General features: G+C 48.8%; 1 long non-coding RNA gene across 2 annotated transcripts in view; it reads right to left on the bottom strand.

The window, feature by feature from the left end:
• LINC00841 (long intergenic non-protein coding RNA 841) overlaps positions 1–22,669 on the bottom strand; it is a 71,970-nt gene that overhangs the window by 5,191 nt on the left and 44,110 nt on the right. The window contains exons 6-8 of one of the 2 annotated variants that reach the window (NR_033846.2): positions 10,486–10,692; positions 9,361–9,440; positions 6,168–6,257 (exon numbers count right to left, since the gene is read on the bottom strand). This is a non-coding gene — a long non-coding RNA (long intergenic non-protein coding RNA 841). Of the gene's footprint in view, positions 1–6,167; positions 6,258–9,360; positions 9,441–10,485; positions 10,693–20,759; positions 20,876–22,669 lie in introns of those variants that run through there. The other variant, NR_136147.1, reaches the window with a different exon arrangement.

Genomic DNA, 22,669 nt, shown 5'->3' with positions numbered 1-22,669 from the left:
CATGTAATTCAGCCAAAGCACTGGAGAAACTTGCAACCTGGAACCACCAACCACTGTAGACAGACATGTCCCAAGAAAAGCCTGCTTCCTGCAGCTGCAGGACTGGGGAAATAGCAGTCTAACACAACAGAAGGTATTTTTGACAATAACTATTCTTCTCCAGCCAAACATCCATGGAAAACATTCTGCCAATGATCAGCAGGGCGGACTAGGGAGCTGAACCCCTCTCTAAAACCTGAAAGTCCAAATCCTTCCTTGCCTCTTCCTGGCTTCTGGTGGTTTTCTGGCCACCTTTGGCATTCCTTGGCTTGCAGCTGCATAACTCAGATCTCTGCCTTTCTCACCCCATGGCACTTCTCCTGTGCGGGTCTATCTTCACATGCCGTCTTCTTCTAAGGATGCCAGTCATATGGTATTCAGGCTGCCCTATTCCACTGTAACTCCATCTTAACTAATGACATCTGAAATGGCACTACTTTCAAGGGTCACATTTTGAAGTACTGGTGGTTAGGACTTCAGACACACAATTCAAGCCATAGCATGTACCAATATCGGTTTCCTGTCTGTGATATTGTACTGTAGTGGTATAAAATATCACTACTGGGGGAAGCGGATAAAAGGCATGGCACTCTGTGCACCATTTTTGCAACTTCCTGTGCATCTATAATTACATCAAAATCAAAAGAGTTTTAAAAATTATTATGTTACATAAACGGAGATCAAATGGGGATCTTACTCCATTTTCCATCTTTATTGACACATTTTTGGGCTTTACATTTCCAACTGTTTTCCATAAGGCAATCAATTTTATCCTCTGTTTTTCCTGTGGTTTGCCCTAAGTGTTTGCTGAATATATTGCATAATTTTAAATAAGCTGGTCAGCAGCTTTGAGACTTTGGTGATATTTCTCTTCTCATTGCAATCTCTCCTAAGAATTTCAGAAATAAATCACCAATCCCCCTATGAAATGACAATTTCTCAACCCTGCAGATAGCAGAAGGCACTGTAATTCTAAAAAATCTTCACTCCTCTTGAGTCTCAAGTTACTGTGGTCTTGAGACTCAAGACCTTGCATTGTACCAATGCTTGGAACAATGGTAATATTTCTTTATCTTCTTTAGGGAAGGCCTGGGTTTTGCGGTTCCTGTAAGTTCCTAGAAATGACCTGATGGGAACTAGGAACAGAGCCATGAAGAGTAGAGCCCACTGAAAAAGGACCACTGGGGCCCTGCGCCTGCTCCATCCTCCTGTTCACTGAGGTGCATGGGGCAGAGGGGCTCATCCTGGGATAAGCTGTAGCCCAAGGCCTGGGGCCATCACCCATGTCAGGGCTTAAGCCTTAGGATGAGTATGAAGAATGGGATTCCAGTTTTCAGGCCAATCTAGAAGTCACACAGTGGCAGAGACAATAAGGAGACCCTACTAGCTGTGCTAAAAATCTGACCCCTGTGGGTAGGGGGAGAGGGAGTTGGGGGCACTGTATTAGTTTCCCATTGCTGTGTTACAAGGCACCATGAACTCAGCAACTTAAAACACCATGTCTTTACTGTCTTATAGTTTCTGTAGATCAGAAGCCTGGGCAGGGTCCTTGGCTGAGGGTCTCACCAGGCTAAAATCAAGATGTCAGTGGGGATACAGTCCCCTCTGGAGCTGGGTCCCCTTCCAAGTTCCTGTGGTTCTTGGCCAAATTTAGTTCCTTGCAATGGAATGAGCAAGTCCCAGCTTTCTTGCCAGGCGATGGCCAGAGGCTCCTCTCAGCACCTAGAGGCCACACCTGCTCCCTGCCACACCAAGAGGCCACACACCTCCCTCCCTGGTTCCACCCAGGCAGGGCCCCTCGGGACACGACGCTTACTTCCCCAAGACCAGCAGGGGCGTCCCTCTCCTGTTTGGAATCTCTCTCTTTAGGAAGATCCTGGCTATTTTAAAGGCTCAGGGGATTTCCCTTTTGATCATCTCAAAGGCAACTCATTAAGGAGCTTCATTACATCTGCAAATTACATCTGCAAGGTTCTTCACCTTTGCACCCTCATCACTAGCAGGAAGGCCATCAGATTTGCAGCTTGGCCTCCAGCCATGGGGAAGGGATTACACTGGGGCGTGTATACCACGGGGTGGGAATTGTAAGGCCTCTCAGAATTCTGCCTATGACTGGTGTGGGACCCTTGGAGGGCCTGCAGTGCCCAGGCAGGCTGGGCTGGAGTCCAGGACAGGGTGCTACAGGCCTGTCCAGCAGAAGGCAAAGCAGAAACACAAGGCAGAGCCAATGCCACATTCAACCAACACAGAACAGGGCTGGGACAAGCTACAACTCAGCCACCCTGAGCACCTGGGGCCACCGGCAGGCAGCATTGACGGACACCAAGGGCTATTCGGGAGCCCATGAGCCCTAAAGGTAGCAGAGCCTCAGCAGATTCTGAGCTTTGAGAATATCTGAGCCATGCTAGGATTTCACACGTAAGTCACCAAGCCTCCTGAGAAAGGAAGGCCAGCAATTTCTCAGCACTGCAGTTGAAAGAAGATGCCATCACGCTCAGAAACTGCCACTTCCCTTTACTCTCAAACTAGCGTGGCCTGGACTTGGAGAAAGCGTGGCATTTTTTGACCCTGGTTGGGAAAGACAGCTGCTGCCATCCTTCATACCCTCAGGATGGGCTCGGGCACAGTCAGTGAGACCTGCAGCTGGCAGAGTAGGACAGGCACCTGGCAGACTCAGATCCCCCAGGAAATTATCAAGATAGGCAGGGGAATGCCAGCGAGGTCAGAAACAGGCTTCCCTGGAAAGAAATGTTGCATTCTCACAGATCTGGGGAGGCACATTCTTCACAGGGCATATGGAGAAAGGTAGGCTGGGTCTGGGTGTTCCATGGGTCTGGTGAGCTGGGGAGATGCCATGGCAGAGGCCAGGTGGATGGGGCAGTGGTCACACTGGGTTAGAAATCAGCACAACCAGCCAGGTGCAGTGGCTCACGTCTGTAGTTCCAGCACTTTGGGAGGCCGAGGCAGGTGGATCATGAGGTCAGGAGTTCGAGACCAGCCTGACCGACATGGTGAAACCCCATCTCTACTAAAAATACAAAAAAAAATTAGCTGGGCATGGTGGCACTCACTTGTAATCCCAGCTACTCAGGAGGCTGAGACAGGAGAATTGCTTGAACCCAGGAGGTGGATGTTGCAGTGGGCCGAGATCGCGCCATAACACTCCAGCCTGGCAACAGAGCGAGACTCCTTTCAAAAAAAAAAAAAAAAAAAAAGGAAAAGAAAAAGAAATCATCACAGTTGTGAGAACTTTGGGAGAATATGCTCTCCTCAGATCTTAATTTCTTATTTATAAAACAAAGACAACAATACCTGTATTAAAATTTAAAAATGCTTGAAAACATGGCCAGGAAGCCATAACCCATCATACAGTGTCAGGTTATGGATGCTGCTATCATAACCCTGGACAAATGGGCAGCTTCGATGAACAGAGATGCTTTTGCCTTCCCTGCAGACAGCTTACACTCCTGGGCCTTTGGCTACATATGCGACTGAACTCAAAAAGGCCAACATTTGTTTTTTTCCATATCCTGTACAAAACATCAAAGGCTGCCAGGTGCAATTTTCTGTCTCCAGGAATTAAGATGAGGAAGACAAAGGAAGACCCTGAGTCAATGACATCCACGTTCAAGCACGATTCCCCTCAGGTCTGTGACAGGGGCTGCCCTGGGACCCTGGCCCTCCATCTGCTTCCCCTCGGTGTCCCACTTTGGAATTGCTGGGCTGAGCCAGGGGCCAAGAGGGAAAAGCAGGGACAGGATCCTCTGCTCCAGTGCCTCTCACCCCCGTCCCCACTCCCCTGGGCCCTCCAGGAGGAAATGGCAGCCCAGATGGTACCTGCTGAGTGGAGGCAGCTCATGCAAGATGGGGCCGCACAGCAGCGGCATCCAAAATGTGAAGGTGGAAGGCTGGGAACATCGGGAAGAATCACAGGAACTGTTGAAAGAGAAGTGAGCCGTGTGCGTGCAGTATCACTGGGCTAAGTGAGCACTCACTGAGTGGGCACCAAATCCACCAAAGCCATAGGTGGGGCCGCTGGAGGAAGCCAAGGGGAATTCTGTCACCACCTGATATGGCTTGGATGTTTGCTCCCTCCAAATCTCATGTTGAAATGTGACCCCCAGTGTTGCAGGTGGGCCTGGGGGAGGTGTGTGGGTGATGGGAGCCGGCCCCACATGAATGTCTTGGTGCCATCCTCATCCTCAGAGTATCAAAGTCTCACTCTATTAGTTTTCATGAGATCTGATTGTTAAAAAGAGCCTGGTGCTTCCTCCCCTATCTTGCTTCCCGTCTCCTCATGTGGTGCCTTCCTCCATGAATGGAAGTTCCCTGAGGCCCTCACCAGAGGCAGATACTGGTGCCCCACTTCTTGTACAGCCTGCAGAACTGTGAGCCAATAAACCCCTTTGCTTTATAAATTACCCAGCCTCAAGCATTTCTATATAGTGACGCAAATGGACTAAGACGCACCTGTCCTAGTTTTCCAGGGCTGCGTAGCAAAGCACCATAGGCCAGGTTTGCATTGTTCCTGCACTTCTAGGGGTGGGAGTCTGGGATCAGGTTGCTGGCAGGTTCGGTTTCTTCTCATGCCCCTCTCCTTGGCTTGTAGATGCTGTCTTCTCCCTGTGTCCTCACATGGTCTTCCCCCTATGCACGTTTGTGTTCTCATTTCTTCTTAGAAGGACATCAGTTGTATTGGATTAGGGCCTATCCTGATGACCTCAGTTAACTTTAATCACCTCTTTAAAGATTCTATCTCCAAACACAGTCATATTCTGCAGTAGTGGGGGTTAGGGCTTCAACATACAAGTTTTGGGAGAACACAACTCAGCCATAATGCCACCCCAGCCCCAAGAGCCCCGAAACTGGAAGTACAGGTCATTCAGTGGTCATCTCATGTCTGCCCACACCCCCTCTCTAGACATCCAAGGCCCTTTCTAAAGTGACCAAAAGCTACTAAGAAGCAGAAAGTCTCTGATCACTTGGAGAGCAATGTACTGATGGATTTGTAACCATGGTAACATGCACATCAGAGAACTTTATGAAACAATGGAGAGAAGGAAGCCTGGGGTCATTTGCTGTGATGCTGCACTGACCTGGACATCCTTGTAGATCCAGGCTTTGAGGCGGGCAGGAGGAGATGGAGCTGCCGTTTAACCCACCTGGTGGAGCAAGGCAGTGAGCAGGGCCTGTTGCCTGTGACCACAGAGTCCTGCTTTGTCCTCAGGCCCTGGGAGCAGAGCCAAGCAATGGATACTGATGACATTTGGACATCATTCTTAAATTCAACACAGCAGCTCACACTGGGAATTTCTAGCTCAGAAAGGATCCACGTAGGGGGATGATTTGCCCCCTTCCCCCAATTGGGCACCCCATAGTCAGCAGGGAAATTCACCAGGGTGGGGCAGAGAGTGTGCAGGGTGGGCAGCAGCACTGGAGGCAGCATAGTGGTCGTGCCAGAGTTATGGGAGAAAACACGTGTCAGTTGGACCTAACTGCATCATAGAGACTTCATCGTTAGGGTCCACAAACCAGGCCAGCAGCCACAGTCTGTCCTCCTGTGGGAGAGCCTGGGGCCAGATCCCAAAGACCAGAGACACAAAGATATCTGTGTCCAAGGGATCCAAGGGGAAGGAGCCATCCTGGAGCTCCAGGAGGGTGCAGCACAGGCAGCCTGAAGCACCACACTGCACAGGGACACACTCCTGGCCCTGGGGCACAGCCATCGTCAGACCATTTGGACAGATGAAGGCATCTGAGGAGCCACAACTGTCAGGATCCTGTCTCCGAGCACCTGCCTGACAAGTAGTCCCACCATGAGGGGAACCAAAAACCCAAAACAACCACAACCAAAAGGCCTCTTCCAGCCATGGGAAGCCAGCCAGCCCTTGCTCTTTTCAGACCCGCTCAGCCAGGGTCTGCAAGGCCATCTCAGCTAGCTTGGGTACATCAAGGCCCCCAACCAACCTGTGTTCTGTGAGTGCCTGCTCTATGCCTAAACTTGCCAAGAGAGAAGAACCAGAGCTGATCCCTGGCCCTGCCTGACAGCGATCTGGGCAGCTTACAGGGGGGCATCTGTGAGGTCCAGTGCCAAGCAGGACTGCAGTAGCTGTAGAATAATACATTTCTTGCAGGGGTTTGGCCTCAAGCAGGGATTTGGTTCCTCAGCCTGTGGGGCTGCTGCTGCTGTTTCTGCATCTGAGGCTGTGGCCCAGAGCCTGTAAGACAGGGCAAGCATTCAAGGAGGATGACAGATGTCAAGTGTAGGAAGAAAGACCAAGTGGCCCCCGCGGCTGCACAGGACCCGCAAGGACCAACTGAAACTGCTTTGATCTCTAGTAGGAGAGGCCAGAGCGGGGGCCACAGCAGGACCCGAAAGTGGCCACCAGCAGTTGCCCCACGCTGACCAGGTGAGCCAGGGGGTCAGGCACACGGCCTGCACGGACCTATGAGTGGTCAGGCTGCTCCCATGCTGCAGCCTTCTGCGTCACAACATGTGTTTCAGGCTGCCTTGGAACTATTCAGAGAAGACAATTCTGAGGAATAACGGCCAGCTCAGCTAAGATGACCTGACATAAACCACCCAACAGGTATCCAGGACGCAACCTAACAGGTGATGATTTCTCCTAGGAAGAGAGAGTCTGAGAGCTTCAGAAACACAACTGTGGGGAATTCAGCTTCTCTTTTAAAATGAGGTCCAGAGATCAGGAAGGCTCCAGGGAGTTGGAAACATCTCAGCTGGTTTTGGGAATCAGGTGAGAACAGGTCATGGGGCCTAAGAGGACAGAGGTTCCGACAGAGAGGATATGGGAGCCAAGGGAGGGCAGCGATCATAGGAGAGGAGACTGTGACAGGCAGTGCACAGGCCTTGCGGAGAGTCACGGGCAGCGGGCAGAGCAGGCGCGGCGGCAGCAGCGTCCGCTGCAGAGCTCAGAGGGGACGGGGTGCAGAGATGAGCCTCGGCTTCCTTCCTCAGAGCAAATAACCAAACGTAAAAAACGTTTTACAGGCCATGCAGTTTCCTATTCCCTTGTATGAAATTAAAGTCCTTGGATTGGAATCACAGTATCCTTTTTTTAGGTTATGTTTCAGATGCTCCGTTTTAGGTCTTGAACTCCCCATGACACTCTATTTTTCCCTGCTTTTTACTACACAAAGTCAATATTAAAACATAAATGAGGTTTGGACCTCCCTTTATTACTCATCAACTATAGCTGGCTTAAAACTTGAGGGGATTAGCTTTTTCCTACAGCCCAAATGAAATCGAACCTCCCTTTCTTTGTCTTCTCTCCCTCTCTACCTCTTTCCCTCCCCACCTCTTCTTTCCATCAGCCCTTCCTTAATTTGTCTTTTCTTTTTTTAATTGATTCTTACATCAAAAACCAAAAAGAATTATGACACTAATGAAGGACATGTAACAAAAGAGAAGCAGTAGGCACATCACCACTGAACTACGACAAAAAAATTGTCTGACCCATGCCGCCCCTCAATCCTGTCCACAGGCATTCTTAGTTATTCCTGGTGGTCCCAGCAAGGAGTAGAATTTAGTAGTTTGCTTTATTCACTTGATAATATCATGTTTTCCACTTTGCCAAATCAGCTTCCCTATTATCATTTGCCACAAGCCTGTGGCTTTCACGGGGTGGACTAAAGCACATGGTGGGGAAGCCTTGGCTGATGCCTCAATGTTGGTAGCTTTAGGGGAAGGTGCTTTAGACTGACTGTGATCCACAGAGAACTGCCCTCTGGTCCCCATGAACAGTGATGGGCAAGTCTGAAGAGAATTTCTTGGCCATTCAGATACCAATGTCTTCATGCACCTGAAATGACTTGAAGAGAATGATCTGAAGAGATGCAGGTAAGGAGGAGTGGTGGCTGAGGGGCTACTGGGCATTTCCCTATTTGCAACTCATCTCTTCTACCAGAAGCATGTGAATCCCTACCTCCCTTCCTAACCCCTTCCCAGAGCAACTCAGCAGGACTTGCAAGGTGGAGAAGAGGTGTTTGAGTTCCTCCTAGAGAAGACCTTGGAAGAGATTCACGCACAAAAGAAAGAAAGCAAAATAATACTTTATGCTATTAAATTTTGCATTCCAAAACCCCAGTTTTGTAATATACAGCTTTATATGCCAAACTTGACCAAAAAAAAGACATGAGACATAAAGAAGAAAGTAAAATGGCTGACATAAATCCAAACCTATGGATATTAACATTAAATATTAATGGATTAAGCAACACAAAAGACAGAGATTATCAGATCAGACAGGATAAGAAAAACAAGATCCAACTATATGTTTGCTACAGGAGACACACTTTAGATTCAAAGATATAAATGGGCTGAAAGTAAAAGAATGGAAAAGAAATAATCATGCAAACAATTGTAAGAACACTGGAGTGGCCATACTGACATCAGACAAAATAAACTTTCAAACAAAAATAGTTATCAGAGATAAGCAGGGACACTTTATAATAACAATAGAATCAACTCGTGAAGAAGATATAACAATTATAAACATATGTTTCTAACAGAGCCCCCAAAATACATGGGGCAGAACTGATATAAATAATGAGAAAAATAGACCAATACAAATACTTGGCAACATCAACGCCACACTTGGAATCATGGAGAGAACAACTAGACAGGAGATCAAAAGGGAAATAGACAATTTGAACAATAATCTAAAATGCAAAACCTTCATGAGCAGAAAGATCTCCCCATAAGTCCTTAGAAGAAAAATAGCCTTTCGAGGTTTACGTAGAGCAAGGGTAAGAGGGAAATGGGGGTTACAGACCCACCGTGAGTACTGCTGAGCCGGGCACTAGCTGGGGAGTTTATAGTCATTTATCAGAAGCTTCTGGGTCTTACATTTCTCATACATAAAATGAGGTAAAAATGCACCATTCACGGGGTCTTTGTGGGGATTTTGAGAATGAAATACATAAAGGAAATTTATTCCTAGGCTGTGGGATGCTGTCCAATGGAAGATGTGCCAATCCTGAACCTGTCTGCCCTCAGAGCCAGTCCAAGCCCTTTCCCTCTCTGCATTATGGGGATGGGCTTCAGGGAAGGAAGGATTGAGCCTGTTAGACTGTCATTCCTGGCTCATGTGCCAATTGGTTTCTGGTGGGATTCACCCCAGAGAGAGGTGCTAAAAAGAGGGGTAAGAAGGGGGAAGCCAGGGTATTTCTCCATCACCATTTTCCCCACACCTAAGCACTATCTCCAGCAGACTTCCCTGAGGGTCCAGCTCCTGCCAGGGAAGCCAAGACGCCAGCTTCCAAAGGGTGAACCTCGTACCTGGGCCCCATAGCACTACTTACCTCCTTAGTTCCTTCAACCCAGGGAGGGTTGCGGCTCCCTCCAATGTCACTGTGCTCTGGCCTCAAAGTCTTCCTATAACCTGGGCAATGAGAGTCCTCTGTTATAAATACTTAGAGTGACCTCTCTTCTTGGTTGAACCTTGGATGATTAATAGGATTTTTCTCCTAAACTATGAAAAGTTTGTAGGCAGAGATCCTGTCTTCAAGCCAACCAACAGTGATTGGGTTTCTGTAAACTGTTAGACCTTGAGCCAAGCCACAGAGAAGAAGCAGCAAGACAGGGCCTGCTCTACGGAACACAGAACCTTAGCCCTCTATGACCTGCATGGAGCCTCGTGTAGAATAAGCACTAGTGTGCACCTGTTGCTGAAAGCCTATTTCAATTGAGTTAGCATGTGTAGCGTGTGAGCTGTGCACCAGCTTCTCGGCCTGGTTTGCAGACACATTGTATTTGACCTGTGGTGATACCCCATGAGAAACCAAAGCAGCTCACACCATGTAGCGCAGTGCTGTAAGCTTTGCCACCCTGCTACTGGCTGAAACCCTACCAGGGGCACAGCTGGCCAGCGGTCTCCCCATCAATGTCCTGCAACAACCTCCCCAAAACCAAAGTAGAATGAAGATTGGAGAATGGAGTGTCAGGAACACTTATTCATGATCACTCTTGCATTCTGAAGGTGCAACATGAATGTCTCCGAGGGGTGGTGTGGGTGCTCCTCAGCCCCCAGATGAACAAGGTGTCTACTTGGATTTTAACTATAAAGCTGCCCTGTTACACTTTGTAACCTCAGGCACAGAGCCGTGGACATGCATCATAGGGCACTGAATCTGTCCCACATGACTAACAACTTGGGACATCTGAGAACATTTCTGTATTGTTTACACTAAAAGAACATGTATTTTTATTTCATAACACAGAACTGACATTTGACATGTTAAGTCAATGTAAGTCACTGGTGAAGTTCCTGAATTACTGCGGAAGAGTAATTAGTCCCTAGGGGCCTGTCGCTTCAACAATTTGCCATTTATCTTCTTTCAGATGACAATGTGGTTTTTTCTTTTATTTAAATCTTAAAACCCATAAATACCTCTCCACCACCACTGCTTCCTTCCCTGCAGACATACCCAAATCTTGTCCACCTCTGGGTTCAGCCAAGAGTTTGTGGTAACAACCACAAATGAAGCCTCGGCTCTGATGACACTGCTGCTCCTGAAATCCTCTCAGGGCCAATCTTCTCTGAATCAACAACTTGACTTTATTAACTGATAAGATTGACTCTGCTTCACATTCTAGCTTATTCTTGTGTTGTTCGGATCATCCACATGCTTTAACTTAGAGAGAGGGAGAAGTGACATTTTTACCAGATTGGAGTGCACTGCAGAGGCCAGTCTCTGGGGTCACATGCACAGCGGTACGACTTTCCTATTTATGTAAAAAGGAAACTGACTTTTCCCGGTCCTGGCTGTAAAGGCTCGGGACACGGTAGACGGGACGGGAGGTGCCTCGGTGATTTGCGGAACAGGAGGAGCTTTCCCTTCCAAGCTAAACAATAAGTTCCACTTTTTTAATGGCTCTTGGGTTAGAATTACTGACAAATAAGACAGAAATGTAAAAGCCTCAAGTATGTGATTACCTTAAGTCTGGGGGACACTTAAATAGAATAAAGTAACCATTTACTTTATTTCAAGATTTGGGTTTCTTGGTTGTGGGGGATGTGTAAAACATAGTCATTGATTTTAACTTTCCCATCCAATAAATTTACCAATTCAGACAAATTGAAGACAAGGACAGTTTAAATCAACTTAATTCTATAGGAAAGAGTATTTTGAGTATTTCAAATATTTCCAAGTACACACAGTAACTCAAACCAGGCTGGTGAAATGTTTCCTTCCTTAGAACAAAGGGAGGTTTGGTGGTGATTTGGGGATAGCTTTGAGTTCAGAGCCCGGAAGAGTTACTCAGATTCTGAGGCGGTTTCTGACAGAAGGAAAGGTGATAGCCTAACGCTGAGGAGGGCAGTTTCATTAATTGGGACATGTGGGGATGTTGTTGGAGATGGACAGAGGGACATTCAGAAAGACAGAAGCAGAAGCGTGGGTTTCTGAGGAGGGCAGAGTTTCTAAGGTGGTGAACAGAAGAGTGGGTAGACTTGAGCCAACAAAGGAAGCCAGGATCAGGCCATTTTCTCACGGTCACCCTGATGATATTGGGAGCACCTTCAAGATAGGACCCTGCAGGGAAAATGTGTCATGAACGCTATGCAACCTGTGGTCATTTCTAGAGCTCGATTTAATTTTTTTCCCTTGGAAGTTATTGGGGCACTCAGGGTACGCAACCCTGAGTGCACAGGCAGAGGAAGTGAAGCTTGGCCTCACGCCCAAGCACAGAGGACTCGGGTCCCAGGGCTCCAGTGTGGAACTCTGCACGTGGTTGCGGGGTGGGTCACAGGTTTGGAGGCGTTAGGGATGGAAATATGCTCAGGGCAGAGCTGAGAAGACAAGAGGTGGCCAAAAGGGAGTGATGGGTAAATGCACAAAGGTGTCCAGGAGGGCCCTGGTGCAGGCTGGCTTCCAGGACACAGCTCTCAGGGTAGAAGGAGCCTTTCTCAGACACAGTGGAGACCAAATCTTTTAAAGTGGCTGGAAGTAGGTGTCCCTGTGACCACCGACCACTGAGGGACTGGACCAAACAGGACAGAGACTGTGGCCCCAAAACACTAGCCCCAGGCTCAGCTGCTGGAAGCTCCAGGAGCTGCCAGGATGCAGGGCCTGCATCAGGACTCCAGGCATGGACCGAAGCTGCTCCTGGATCAGCAGGGAGCTTGGCCAGGCAGGGAAGGTCACGGGCTCATAAGTCTCATGTTCTCTGCCTTCTAGGATGGTTCTCCTCTATGAAGGCAGCCTCGGCTACATTCTGTGTTTTGTTTGCTTACTAAGAGCATCAACACAAAGAGAGAATGACAATGTCCTTCCCCATCCTACTCCAAAGAACTCCCAGAATGAGGACCCAGATGTGCCTGAGTCGCACCCACACCCTCTGATTTATAACTTGCCATAAAAACCACCTGGGGGATTGTCAACCATGCTGCCAGGCAAGGCTGGGTGCTGAGAAGTGGGGGCCACTCCAACATCAGTATCACAGTCAGACACCCTGTTTTCCACTTCAAATTCCAAACATGTGTCTGTGAGTGTGGGGTAGCGGCATGGGCAACAATCTTTCATTTCATTTGTTAGTTGGGGTATTGAGATTAAAAAGCTACTAAACTCAAAATGTGGGCCAGGCAGTCAACATGTAATACCTGGACACTTTGGGCCTCTGTGGACTTGAAGCATCATCAAGACACATCACTTCTGTGGCCAACCTCTGGTCAACAGTTAGCCTTATCTTCATAAATTGCCTCCCCCACAACACAATATTTCTGTGCATTCATAGCTCTGTTTGTCCTCCGTAAATCAACCACAGGCCTGTTTAATTATCCCTCGGCAATTTTAAACAACATTTTTAATGAGGCAGAGAATACATGAGGGCTTGCAAACAGGGCTTAAGGGTCTGCCGTGGGTCACTCTGTGTGTATTTTTCAAAGCCAGCCATTCCCAAGATAAGTCACATCTCACCCGGATCTCGAGGCTTGGCTGATGGGCTTTTGCACTGCATGACCAGGGAGACTCAACCATCAGGAGGCTGCTTTCTGTCAATGGCCTTGAAGTGTGTTCATTATTATAAACACACATGATGAATTAGTGTTGTGGTTATGTAAGGAATTTGGTCATCTTGGCTCTGGCTGTGAAAGCGGCAGAGCTATGGAGAAAGTGAACGAAGGGCCATGCCTTCCACTGAAGCCCAGGCAGCTGGTGTTTGAGCTTCATTAACTTGGAGATCCATAAATCTCTCCCCCTGGTTTCCAGGTCAAAGGGATTGCTGGGTGGAAGAGCTCCAAACCCTCTCAGTTGTGGGAAACATCCCTGTGACTTTGCGGGAAGGTAGGCCTGGCCCCGATGTCCCATAGCCAGCAGGTCACTCTTAAGGGAGTGGTCCAGAGGGTCCCACCCTCTGATGGTCCTGGGCTGGGGTATAACACTCAGCGGAGCTGCAGGAGAGGGGACAGAGTACTTGTTGCCCGGCTGCATTTGTGCAGTACTGGTGCTGGGGCCCCCACACAAACCCAAGCACCAGCCCTGGCACCCAGCTGAGTGGCCAGCCCACAATCCCAGAGATGGCAAGGGCGGGCAGAAGGGGAAGAGTGAAGGAGAAGCAGCAATTGGGCACCAGGCTCCAAAGGCGCTGAAAGACAGGGCAGCCACTAGAAAGTCATGGGGAGCAGATTCCTGAGGGCCTGTCTGCAAATACTTATTTTTCTTTCTTTGAACATTCTTAGGACCACAGAAATGGGAGCAATTTCAAGAGGACAGACAGACTCTGCCCCCTGCCCTGCCAACACCCGCAGCCACGATTGCCTTTCCTCCTCCTCCCCATTCTCCTTTTCCGTCTCGCCGCAAGCCCAGATTTCGTGCTGAGCCCTGCACATGAAGTGTCTCCCTTAAATGTCATAAAGACCCCATTCTACAGATGAAGACACCAACGCATTGAGGGCATGAACAACAAGCCCAGAGGTACCCTGTCCCTCCACAGAGCTGGATCCAGACCCAGTCTAGACCTATTCCAGAGCCCAGCCTCACTGTGTCTGGGGCACGATGGTCCCTGGCCTGGAGTGAAGAACACGAGATCCGAACCTTCAGAGTACGCCTCTCTGCCTCAGCCAAGCTCTCTGTTCTGGAACCTCTGCAGGTTATTTCTAATTGAGAAGGTGCAGCAAAGCAGTTAGGGACCTGGACTCTCAAATCCAGTACAGTCACATGTTCTCAGCCACACGACCTGGGGAAGGCACCCAGCCACTCGCAGGCTGGAAGGAGGTTACAGAGGTCACCGAGGCACAGCCCTCACAGGAGATGTGGGTGGCATGGGCACTCAGGAAGTTAGCTGTTATCAGTCATTATTCCTTGACACCCACTCTGCCTGTTTGTTCCCTCAAACTTCTTGCAAGAGAACTATGAAGAGGTTGGGATTCTTGCTGATTTATGGTCATTACTGATGATGTCACGACTGTCCACTCAGGGCCCAAGGACACCAGGACAAGTTAGCAGCCTGCACAGGAATCCAGGAAGTTGTTATTTTAATCTTTAATGCTAGTTTTTTTTGCCAAGCTAAACAACCCCTATCGGCCCCGTAGTATGTTAACATTTTGGGAAAAATTTATGAACTGCTCCAATCCATTTTTGGTAAAGCCCATTACCTCTGAATATAGAATCAAGGTTCCAATTAAAGCTCTCCATTAGAGAATTAAAGTTATTTGCCAAACCAGAAGAGAAAAAAGATCATTCTTCATAATTTTCAAGTTCATCTGCCTGAAACCAGCAGTCTCCTTCCAGTCCTCAGGCAAGTGATCAACTCATTCAATGTTTCAGAGCATGGACCACAAAACAGAGAAACTTCTGGGAATCTGGACAAAACAGTGCCTCCCCCCAAGGGATCTCAGACAGTCGCTAGGGCTTGCACACACACATATGCGCACATACACACACTCACATGGTTGCTCTAGGATCCTAACATCTGTAGTCAAGGAGGTCCAATGTTTTTAGGAGTAAAAATAAATCCCAATTTCTTCCACTTTGGAAGCTCGTAGACGGCAGGCTTTGTAGGAGAAGTTATTTCAACTGGGTTTAAAAGTTTTGGTACGGTTTTGCCGGATAGAAATAGATGGGCAAATACACAGAGGTTGAGAAGTCCAAGTCAGTGATGCTGAGGGCCCAGGACCATCTGTGTTTGGAGACAGCAGGTGGGAGTGCAGAGATGATGCTAGAAAACTTCCCGAATACATGTTATGATGCTAGGCGTTTATTCTGATAGGTGTATTTTACTTCTGACAGATCTCTGCAAAATCTCCAGCTCCTGCCTTTCTGGGCTTTCAGAATCCAGGACCATATGGGACCCATGGACAGTGCAGGCAGGGCAGGAGGCCTCTCCGGGTGCTGAGCTGCCCCGCCATGGGCCACAAGCTGTGCTTCTCAGCACCAATGGTTGTGTCACTCTCATTGGTGGTGCTGGCTTTAGGAGGATGTTGGGGACTCTTTTTGACTCTCCTTGTCTAGATGCCCACATTCTTTGTTAAGGAGCCATCTCCTTTGCTGGGGTCCCCTCTGCCCTCTCTGTTCTAGGATGGTGGGACTATCTGATAAACTAAGTTTTCCAGGGCAGCCCAGGAGGGAAGGCAGCACATGGCTGCACGGAACCTTCTCTGGAGACACAGAATGAAGACCTACAGCCATGCAACCTCCCTTTACTCAGGTCTTTCCAATAGAGAAACTATTCAAGGAAGCCCCCAGGCCTGTGCACGAGGACAAAGAGCAACAAAGAAATAACAAATGGAGTTCAGTTCTAGGACGCCTGATGTCTGCTTAAGAATAAAGGGGCATTTCATTTTGAGATGGGAAGTGGGGACCCTGGGGCCCTGTCCATTGAAATGACCCTTGGCTTCTAGAAGTAGGGGACAGCCCTTACCCAGCTCAGGCATCACAAAATCCTCAGCCAAGCAGCTGGGGGCCTTTAGGGGTATCGTTGGTGTTGTCCTGCTGCCAGCTCCCCGGCCAGATGGAGCCCAGAGCACCGTGCCAGGTTCTTGAGGGCAGACCCTGCAGGCTGCTGAGTGAGCCGAGGAGGGTCAGAAGATTCCTCCACTGACGGCTTTTGGCTGGTCAGTGAGTGCCCATGACCTTGGAGGAGGAGCCCAAGGCTCTGTCAGGCTCTGTCCCCTGTAAATTATTACATGGCCACCTTGTGGCTCAGAGGGCCCTACCTACTATATGAAAATGATATATCTTGAATGATTTATTTATGTCTTTAACAATCATCTATTGAGCACACGTGGCCATGTGGTTCCTCCCCTTGAGCTCACAATCTAATAAAAATAAATATAAGTTATTTCAGTGCAGTCTAGTGCATGCAGTACCAGCATGTCCACATGACAGGGGCTGTTACAAAGGAGTACGGGATTCCCTTCAGGCAAGCAGGGACGTGTAGAGAGAGGCTGGATAAGCCTCCTCAGGGAGGCGATGCTCTAGGCTTCTGGCTAGGAGTGTGCCAGGCAGATGTCTGTGCAGCCTCATTCCAGCAGCAGAAACACCTACTCCATTGTCCAGATTTGGAACACTGGAGAGGGAAAGGGGATGCGGTTACCAATGATAATCAAACAATAGGCATAAACCAGTGCTGTCCCCAGCCATGTGGGACACGTGTTCACCCTGTGTCTAAACAGAGTGTGCACAGGCATTGGAGGCATGAACAACATCTATTGAATTTGGGCTGCTAGTAACAAAAACCATTGCTAAGTGTGTGTAACTCGAGTCCAAGTCAGCCTCCAGGTGAGGTGCCATTCAGCATCTTAATGCCTCCACCAGGGACCCAGCTGCCTTCTCCTCATGTGTTTCACTGTCCTCACCCTCAGCTTCATCCCAGGGCTGTGGCCCCAGTGGTCTGTCTCAGGGCAGCCAACAGCAACACGCTACAAGCTCTCTTATCCACACCAGTGAGACAGAAAGGAAGTCATCTTCGCTTCAGCCTGACTCTCCACCCCAGGTCAATTACGCAGGGGATGCTGCGTGCAGAGAAGGAGGACAAGCCGCCTTCCTCCCAAGAGCTGGGCAGGGGGTAATGGGACATGAGGAGAGAGCAGGAGAGCAGTACAGGGTGGGCAGTCAGCAGTGCCCACAGCCAGGACAATTCCAGATTCCTGGAGCTGCAGGCAGGGACAGAGGTCATAGGGGAAGGTGAAGAACATCAGAGTACAGGGAGGAGGGAGCAGATTCTGAACAGTCCTGTCCACTTTTAATGGAAAGTCAGGTTGAATTTAAGCTTTGTGCTTTTAGAGAACTCACTCTTGAGATAACATGGAGGGTGGACTAGCAAAGGGTACATTATAGGCGTGGAATCAACAGTAATGCTACGGCAAAATTCAGGTGAAGGGTGATGTGGCTGACTGCTCCCTTTTCTGGATCCCAGATCTGGATGTGTAAACATTTTCTGGGCATCTGCTTCTTTGCACTGTGGGGAGGTTGAAGTCAGGGTCTACCCTTCCCCACCTCTCTGTCCCTGCAGTAAGCAGGTGACTGTGCACACAGTGGGTACTTAGTAAATATTTGATGCTTAAGTGAATGATGGAATGGGTGCCTCTGATGAGGGCCCTGTTCACCCAGCCAGTCTGGTAGGCAGGCTTTCCTGCTCTGCCAGTCTCAAGGCTGCCACTCTTGGTGGCCATGTTGAATGGCATGAAGCCAGGGACTTAGAGAGCTTCCCTGCTCCCTAGTGTACTGAGATAGCAGCCAGGCAGGGCGTGTTTCTGGTCACAGGCTTAGGAGAAAGGCCAGGATCCTACCGGGTTCACGGCCCCGGTATAGTCTGACCCCATCAGTGAGAGGACACAGCCCAAGCACAGCTGCTGCTCCTCTCCATTCAGGATGGGAGGTCCAAGGCAGCACTAAACAATGCCAGGACCCAGGAGGCAGGCGCAGTGAGCAGGGTCCTGTCTTGCACAGTGCAGCGGCATCTAGAAGGCTGATACCCATCTCTCTTGCTCCCTGGATGATCCCAATCCCTGAGGACTTTAATGAAGAGCATCACATTCCTTCGTGTGGTATCAAGGCCCCCTGTGGCCTCACCTCTGATTACCACAGGGCTCATCCTACCATTCCTTGCTCCCCATGGTCTAAATCCAGGAAGCCCATTCACTGGCCCACCCCAGGCCTCCCTCCATGATGTGCCGAGCTCCTAGAATCCTCCCGCACCTGGTTTTGTGGTCACGTCCTCAAGCAAAAGCCCTCCCATCTGGGTTAGCTGGCTGCCCCCAGAAGTCTCCATGCACAATGCTGAATGCAAATATCAGAGCCTAGGGGGCTGCAGGCTCCACAGAAACAGCTTCCTTGCCATGCTTGGTCTGTGCTTAGCCAACGTTAATAACAATGAGCAGGTGAGAGGATGGCCCTGTGAGATAGGAGGGTCCTCTGCACTAAGCTCACTGTCCAGGGATTCCCCTCAGCCCCCATCTGATGCCCTCCAGTCTTAAAGGACCAAGCATGGATTAAAGATTCACCAATGGTAACTGCACCCCAATAACACAGACTCTTCATGTTACAAAGCACAGATCATTGGAGTAGAGCCATGAGGCCTGGCTTTACTACTACTGAGTCATGTGACTGTTGACAAGTCTTTGTCACCGCTCTGATCCTTTGTCTCCTCTTCTGTATAAGGGATCATTGTACATTGCTCATAGGGTTGCACCAGCACATACATAGAAAGACTTGGCTTTTACAAGATGTGCCACATCACACAGCAGTGAAGCCTCCTCTTTTTCTAAAACCCAGGCAAAGACACAGGTCAAGCTTGCCTTGTTAGCACAGTTGAAATCAGGGTAATCTCAGCCCTCCCAATCTATCAAAAAATGGTCCCTAACTGGATGTAGATCATGTTAAGTTTTAGGGTACATCAGTGGATATTGTTCTTGGAAGGATTCTGGAGTAAGACACTTCTCCTTTAGGGGTCTGGGTGAGAGTACTCCCTATTTTGAGGGGCCCTGGACTTAGGTACCTTTCCTGGGGGGCTTCAGTGGGCCACTCTTCCTTTGGAGACTGTGGAGTGCAACATTCTTCAGTTGGATAGATGTAACCTGTTGGTGCAGATCTCTGGCAGATGAAACACCACCCCATGGAAACTGCTCTACAAAGACCACTGTTTAGATTGAATTGTGTCCCCCAAAAAGATAGGTTGAAGTCCTACTCCTGGTACATGTGAATGTGACCTTATTTGGAAATAGGATCTCTGCCAATGTAATCAAGTTAAAATGAGGTCATTAGGGTATGCCCTAATCCAACAACTGGCATCCTCACAGGAAGAGGTGAAGAGATACAGTCGCAGACAGACAGGAACGGGACACCCTGTAGCTGCAGGGATTGGTATGATGCTGCCACAAGCCAAGGAGCCCCTGGGCTACCAGAAGCTGGAAGAGGAAAGGAATGATTTTTCCCTGGAGGCTTTGGAGACAGCGTGCCCCTGTCAACATCTTGGTTTTGGATTTCAGGCCTCCAGAACTGTGATAGAATACATTTCTGTTGTTTAAGCCACCCAGATTGTGGGACATTGTTACGCAGCCCTAGCAAACACACAACCACCTGCAAGCAAATAGAACTTTCTGTCCATTGCGTGCAGGAGCTCCCTGCTCTGTCTGACAGTGTGAGCAGCCCACTGAAACTCCCCGTGCTGTGGGGCAGCACTCTGTCCACTGTCCCCTCAGTCCCCGAGCTCTGACAGCTCCTTCTCTGCCATGCCCTCCTCCTCCATGCCCTGCTCAGGTACAGTGCCTCCCTAGAGAGCTGCTCCAGCTAAATTAAAGCACACACCCCTGTGATGGCTGAAAGCACAGTGGGGAGTCTGGTCCTGTTGTTTTTAACTACTGTTTCTTCTCTTATCTCCAGTTAGTCTCAACAAATATTTTACTGAGCACCTGCTATGTGACCATCACTGCCCTGGGCCCGTGGGACTCAGCATGAACAGGGAAGACACGTGGAGCTGATGCTCTGGTGACTGAGCTAAGGACAGGGAGGTGGAAGAAGGGGCAGGTCAGGAACAGAAAACACACCAAACACAAACAACTAAGATTGTCTCTGGTTGTGAAGAGTGCTATAAAAAATAGCATCTCAGGTGGTAGAGAGTGGCACACGTTAGGAGCACTCTCTCCGAGGGTGTAACCTTTGATGGGAATGGCAGGGCCTCCTGGGGGGTCCTCTGCAGGCACAGAACAGCTTCATCAGTGGCCCTGAAGAAGAACAAGCACATTTTCCTCAAGGAAAAGGAAGAAGGCCCAGGGGCTGGAGTCAAGCACCTGAATGGAGAACTTGAGGACATGCATTTGAAGGCATAGGTATTTGTGTTTTTTCCTATTACCTTTTATTATTTCTTTAATTATAAAAACTGGAAATACAAACTTAAAACTGTGGGAAAACATTAAAAATCAGTTTCAGTAATCTCCCCAGGGACAACAACTAGAACCATTTTAAGGGTATTGCCTTCTAGATGAGTGGTTGCCAAAGTGCGGTTCCTGAACCAGCAGCAATCAGTACTATTTAGCAAGTTCTTAGAAACGCAGATTCCTGGCCCCACCTCAGACCTACTGAATCAGAAACCCTGGGGTCAGAGCTCTGCAATCTGTGTATTAAAGACAGCTCCACACCCCCAGGTGATTCTGATGCCTGCTGGAGTTTGAGAAGCACTGATTGTTTCTACTAGGTCTCCATTACCTGCAGCTGGGTTGCACATTGGCCGAGTAGGTTGGGAGAGTCCAGGGCTTAAAACATACCTTCCAACTGAGGTTGCATGTTCACTGACCAACAGACCAGCTGTAGCAAGGGACATATGCAAGACCACAGGAGACGGTCACAGCAAGCTGGTACAGCACAGAAAACAGACGGGACCCTGCAGAAAGGACACCAGGCACAGATAGGAGCCAGAGCCATAGGCAGTTGGACAGCTGGCAGTGAGCATTAGGAAGGCTTGTCATTGAGGGGCCTAGTCCAGCTGGGGGTTGCTGTGTATGCAAATCTCTCACAAGGACACAGCAAAGGTGAAATACCACTCCAGGGCATAGATGCTCTGAGCAGCAGTCTTCCATGGCAATCTTCAGAGGCAGAGAAAATGCAACAGCTCCATTATAAGAATCAGGACACTCTAAGCCTTGGGTGGGACTAGCTGCAAGGCCAGTGCTGGTCTCTTTGTGTTACGTGAAAATTCTGGCCTTCTTCCTGCCTTACCTCAGGACTGGCTATCAGTCCCTGTAAGCAACCCTGGTAAGGTGTTCCCTTTCTATGCTAAAATAGTGACACTCTCACAAGTCTCTTGACTCCCTGGCTCAATCATCACTGCTGATGCTGGGAGCAGCCTGCAAGGTCCCTTGTGTAGCGCCCGTCAGCTCCCCATGAGCCCCCTTTCTGGAAGGCCATCAACACCAAAATAAGCAGGACTCCACAGGGGCTCTCAATAGTCTTCATGGAATGGCATGACTCAAAGCACCAGCACTTGGTTTGTTGAAGAATTCTCTAGGCTTTCAGTCAGAATGGTTTTACTGTAATTGTCCCACAGTTCTGATAATCTTCCAGTCAGCCTTGAATCAGAAAAGTAGAAAGCATGAAAGACAGTAACTACAGACACACAGGCTGCCAAAAAAATAAAGCAGAAATGGCTGACTGGCCAAAGGCAAGCAAAGAAAATGAAAAGCTAGAAAATCCAAGCTAAAAAGTTCTAGGACCATATTATGTGGGAGAATAAACTTTCATAACATTCAGTTGTAGAACTGTGTTGTGATGGTTTTTGAAAGATTAGAGGAGAGCAGATTTTGCTCCATCTTCAAAAGGATCATAGGGCGGTGCAGATGGGGACATGAAAAGTGGTGTTGGGAGGAGTTCAGTAAACCCTCTCCCCAGCAAAACAAACTTTTAACTGGAGAACATTTCACAAAACAATGATTTAAAGTCTCTGGGAATTGTCCTAAGGGCATATGGTAGATAGGGAACATTCGTTCAAGAAATTCTACTAAATCTTAGTAATAACAGTGAAAGTCTGTGACATCTGAGTTACAACCAGCTCCCATGCCCACCCTCGGCTCAGGAAAGAAGCTCTCCTCTAGGTGGGTGTGGCCAAGAAGGTGGGGCTTCTTCTCCCTCAAGATCCAAGTCTAGAGCTACAGTTTCAGCCAGGATGGGAGGTTGTCAGCCAATCTCACAGCCCTCCCCAGCTCTGTGCTGCACGAGCTTTATTCTAGGCAGGCGTGCCTAAGAGGACCAGGGCTCCCTTCCTGTACTCAGGCCCCACTCATAAGGCTAAGAACATGGGACTGATCACCCCTGCCCCAGCTCACTTGCAGGGTGGCAGCTCAATGCCAGGAGAGGCAAGAGGAGAAGACCTCACTCATAGAGCAAGGATATCTCTCCAAGAGAAAAGGGCCACTGTCACCACCCTCAGCTCTGTTTTTTGTGGCATAGAGATTCTGCCCAAAAGGAGAAGGGAGTTTTAAGAACAGGAAGACCCTCAACTCTCCTTAAAGGAATGGACATTATTTGTCATATAGTTTGACAGAAAAATGTCTGAGGGCATTGTTAAAAGCAACGGAGATCTTGGTGATGAGTAAGAGGAAGCTGTCTATCCATGACAGTAGTAGAAACAAGCAAGATGGTATACCAGCTAGAAGTTTGACAGAGGAACCAGGGAAAGAAA

Source organism: Homo sapiens, chromosome 10 (genome assembly GCF_000001405.40).
Source record: "Homo sapiens chromosome 10, GRCh38.p14 Primary Assembly".
NCBI classification, from domain to species: domain Eukaryota; kingdom Metazoa; phylum Chordata; class Mammalia; order Primates; family Hominidae; genus Homo; species Homo sapiens.
Note: the sequence above shows the minus strand (reverse complement) of the source record. Positions and strands in the feature narration are given on the sequence as shown.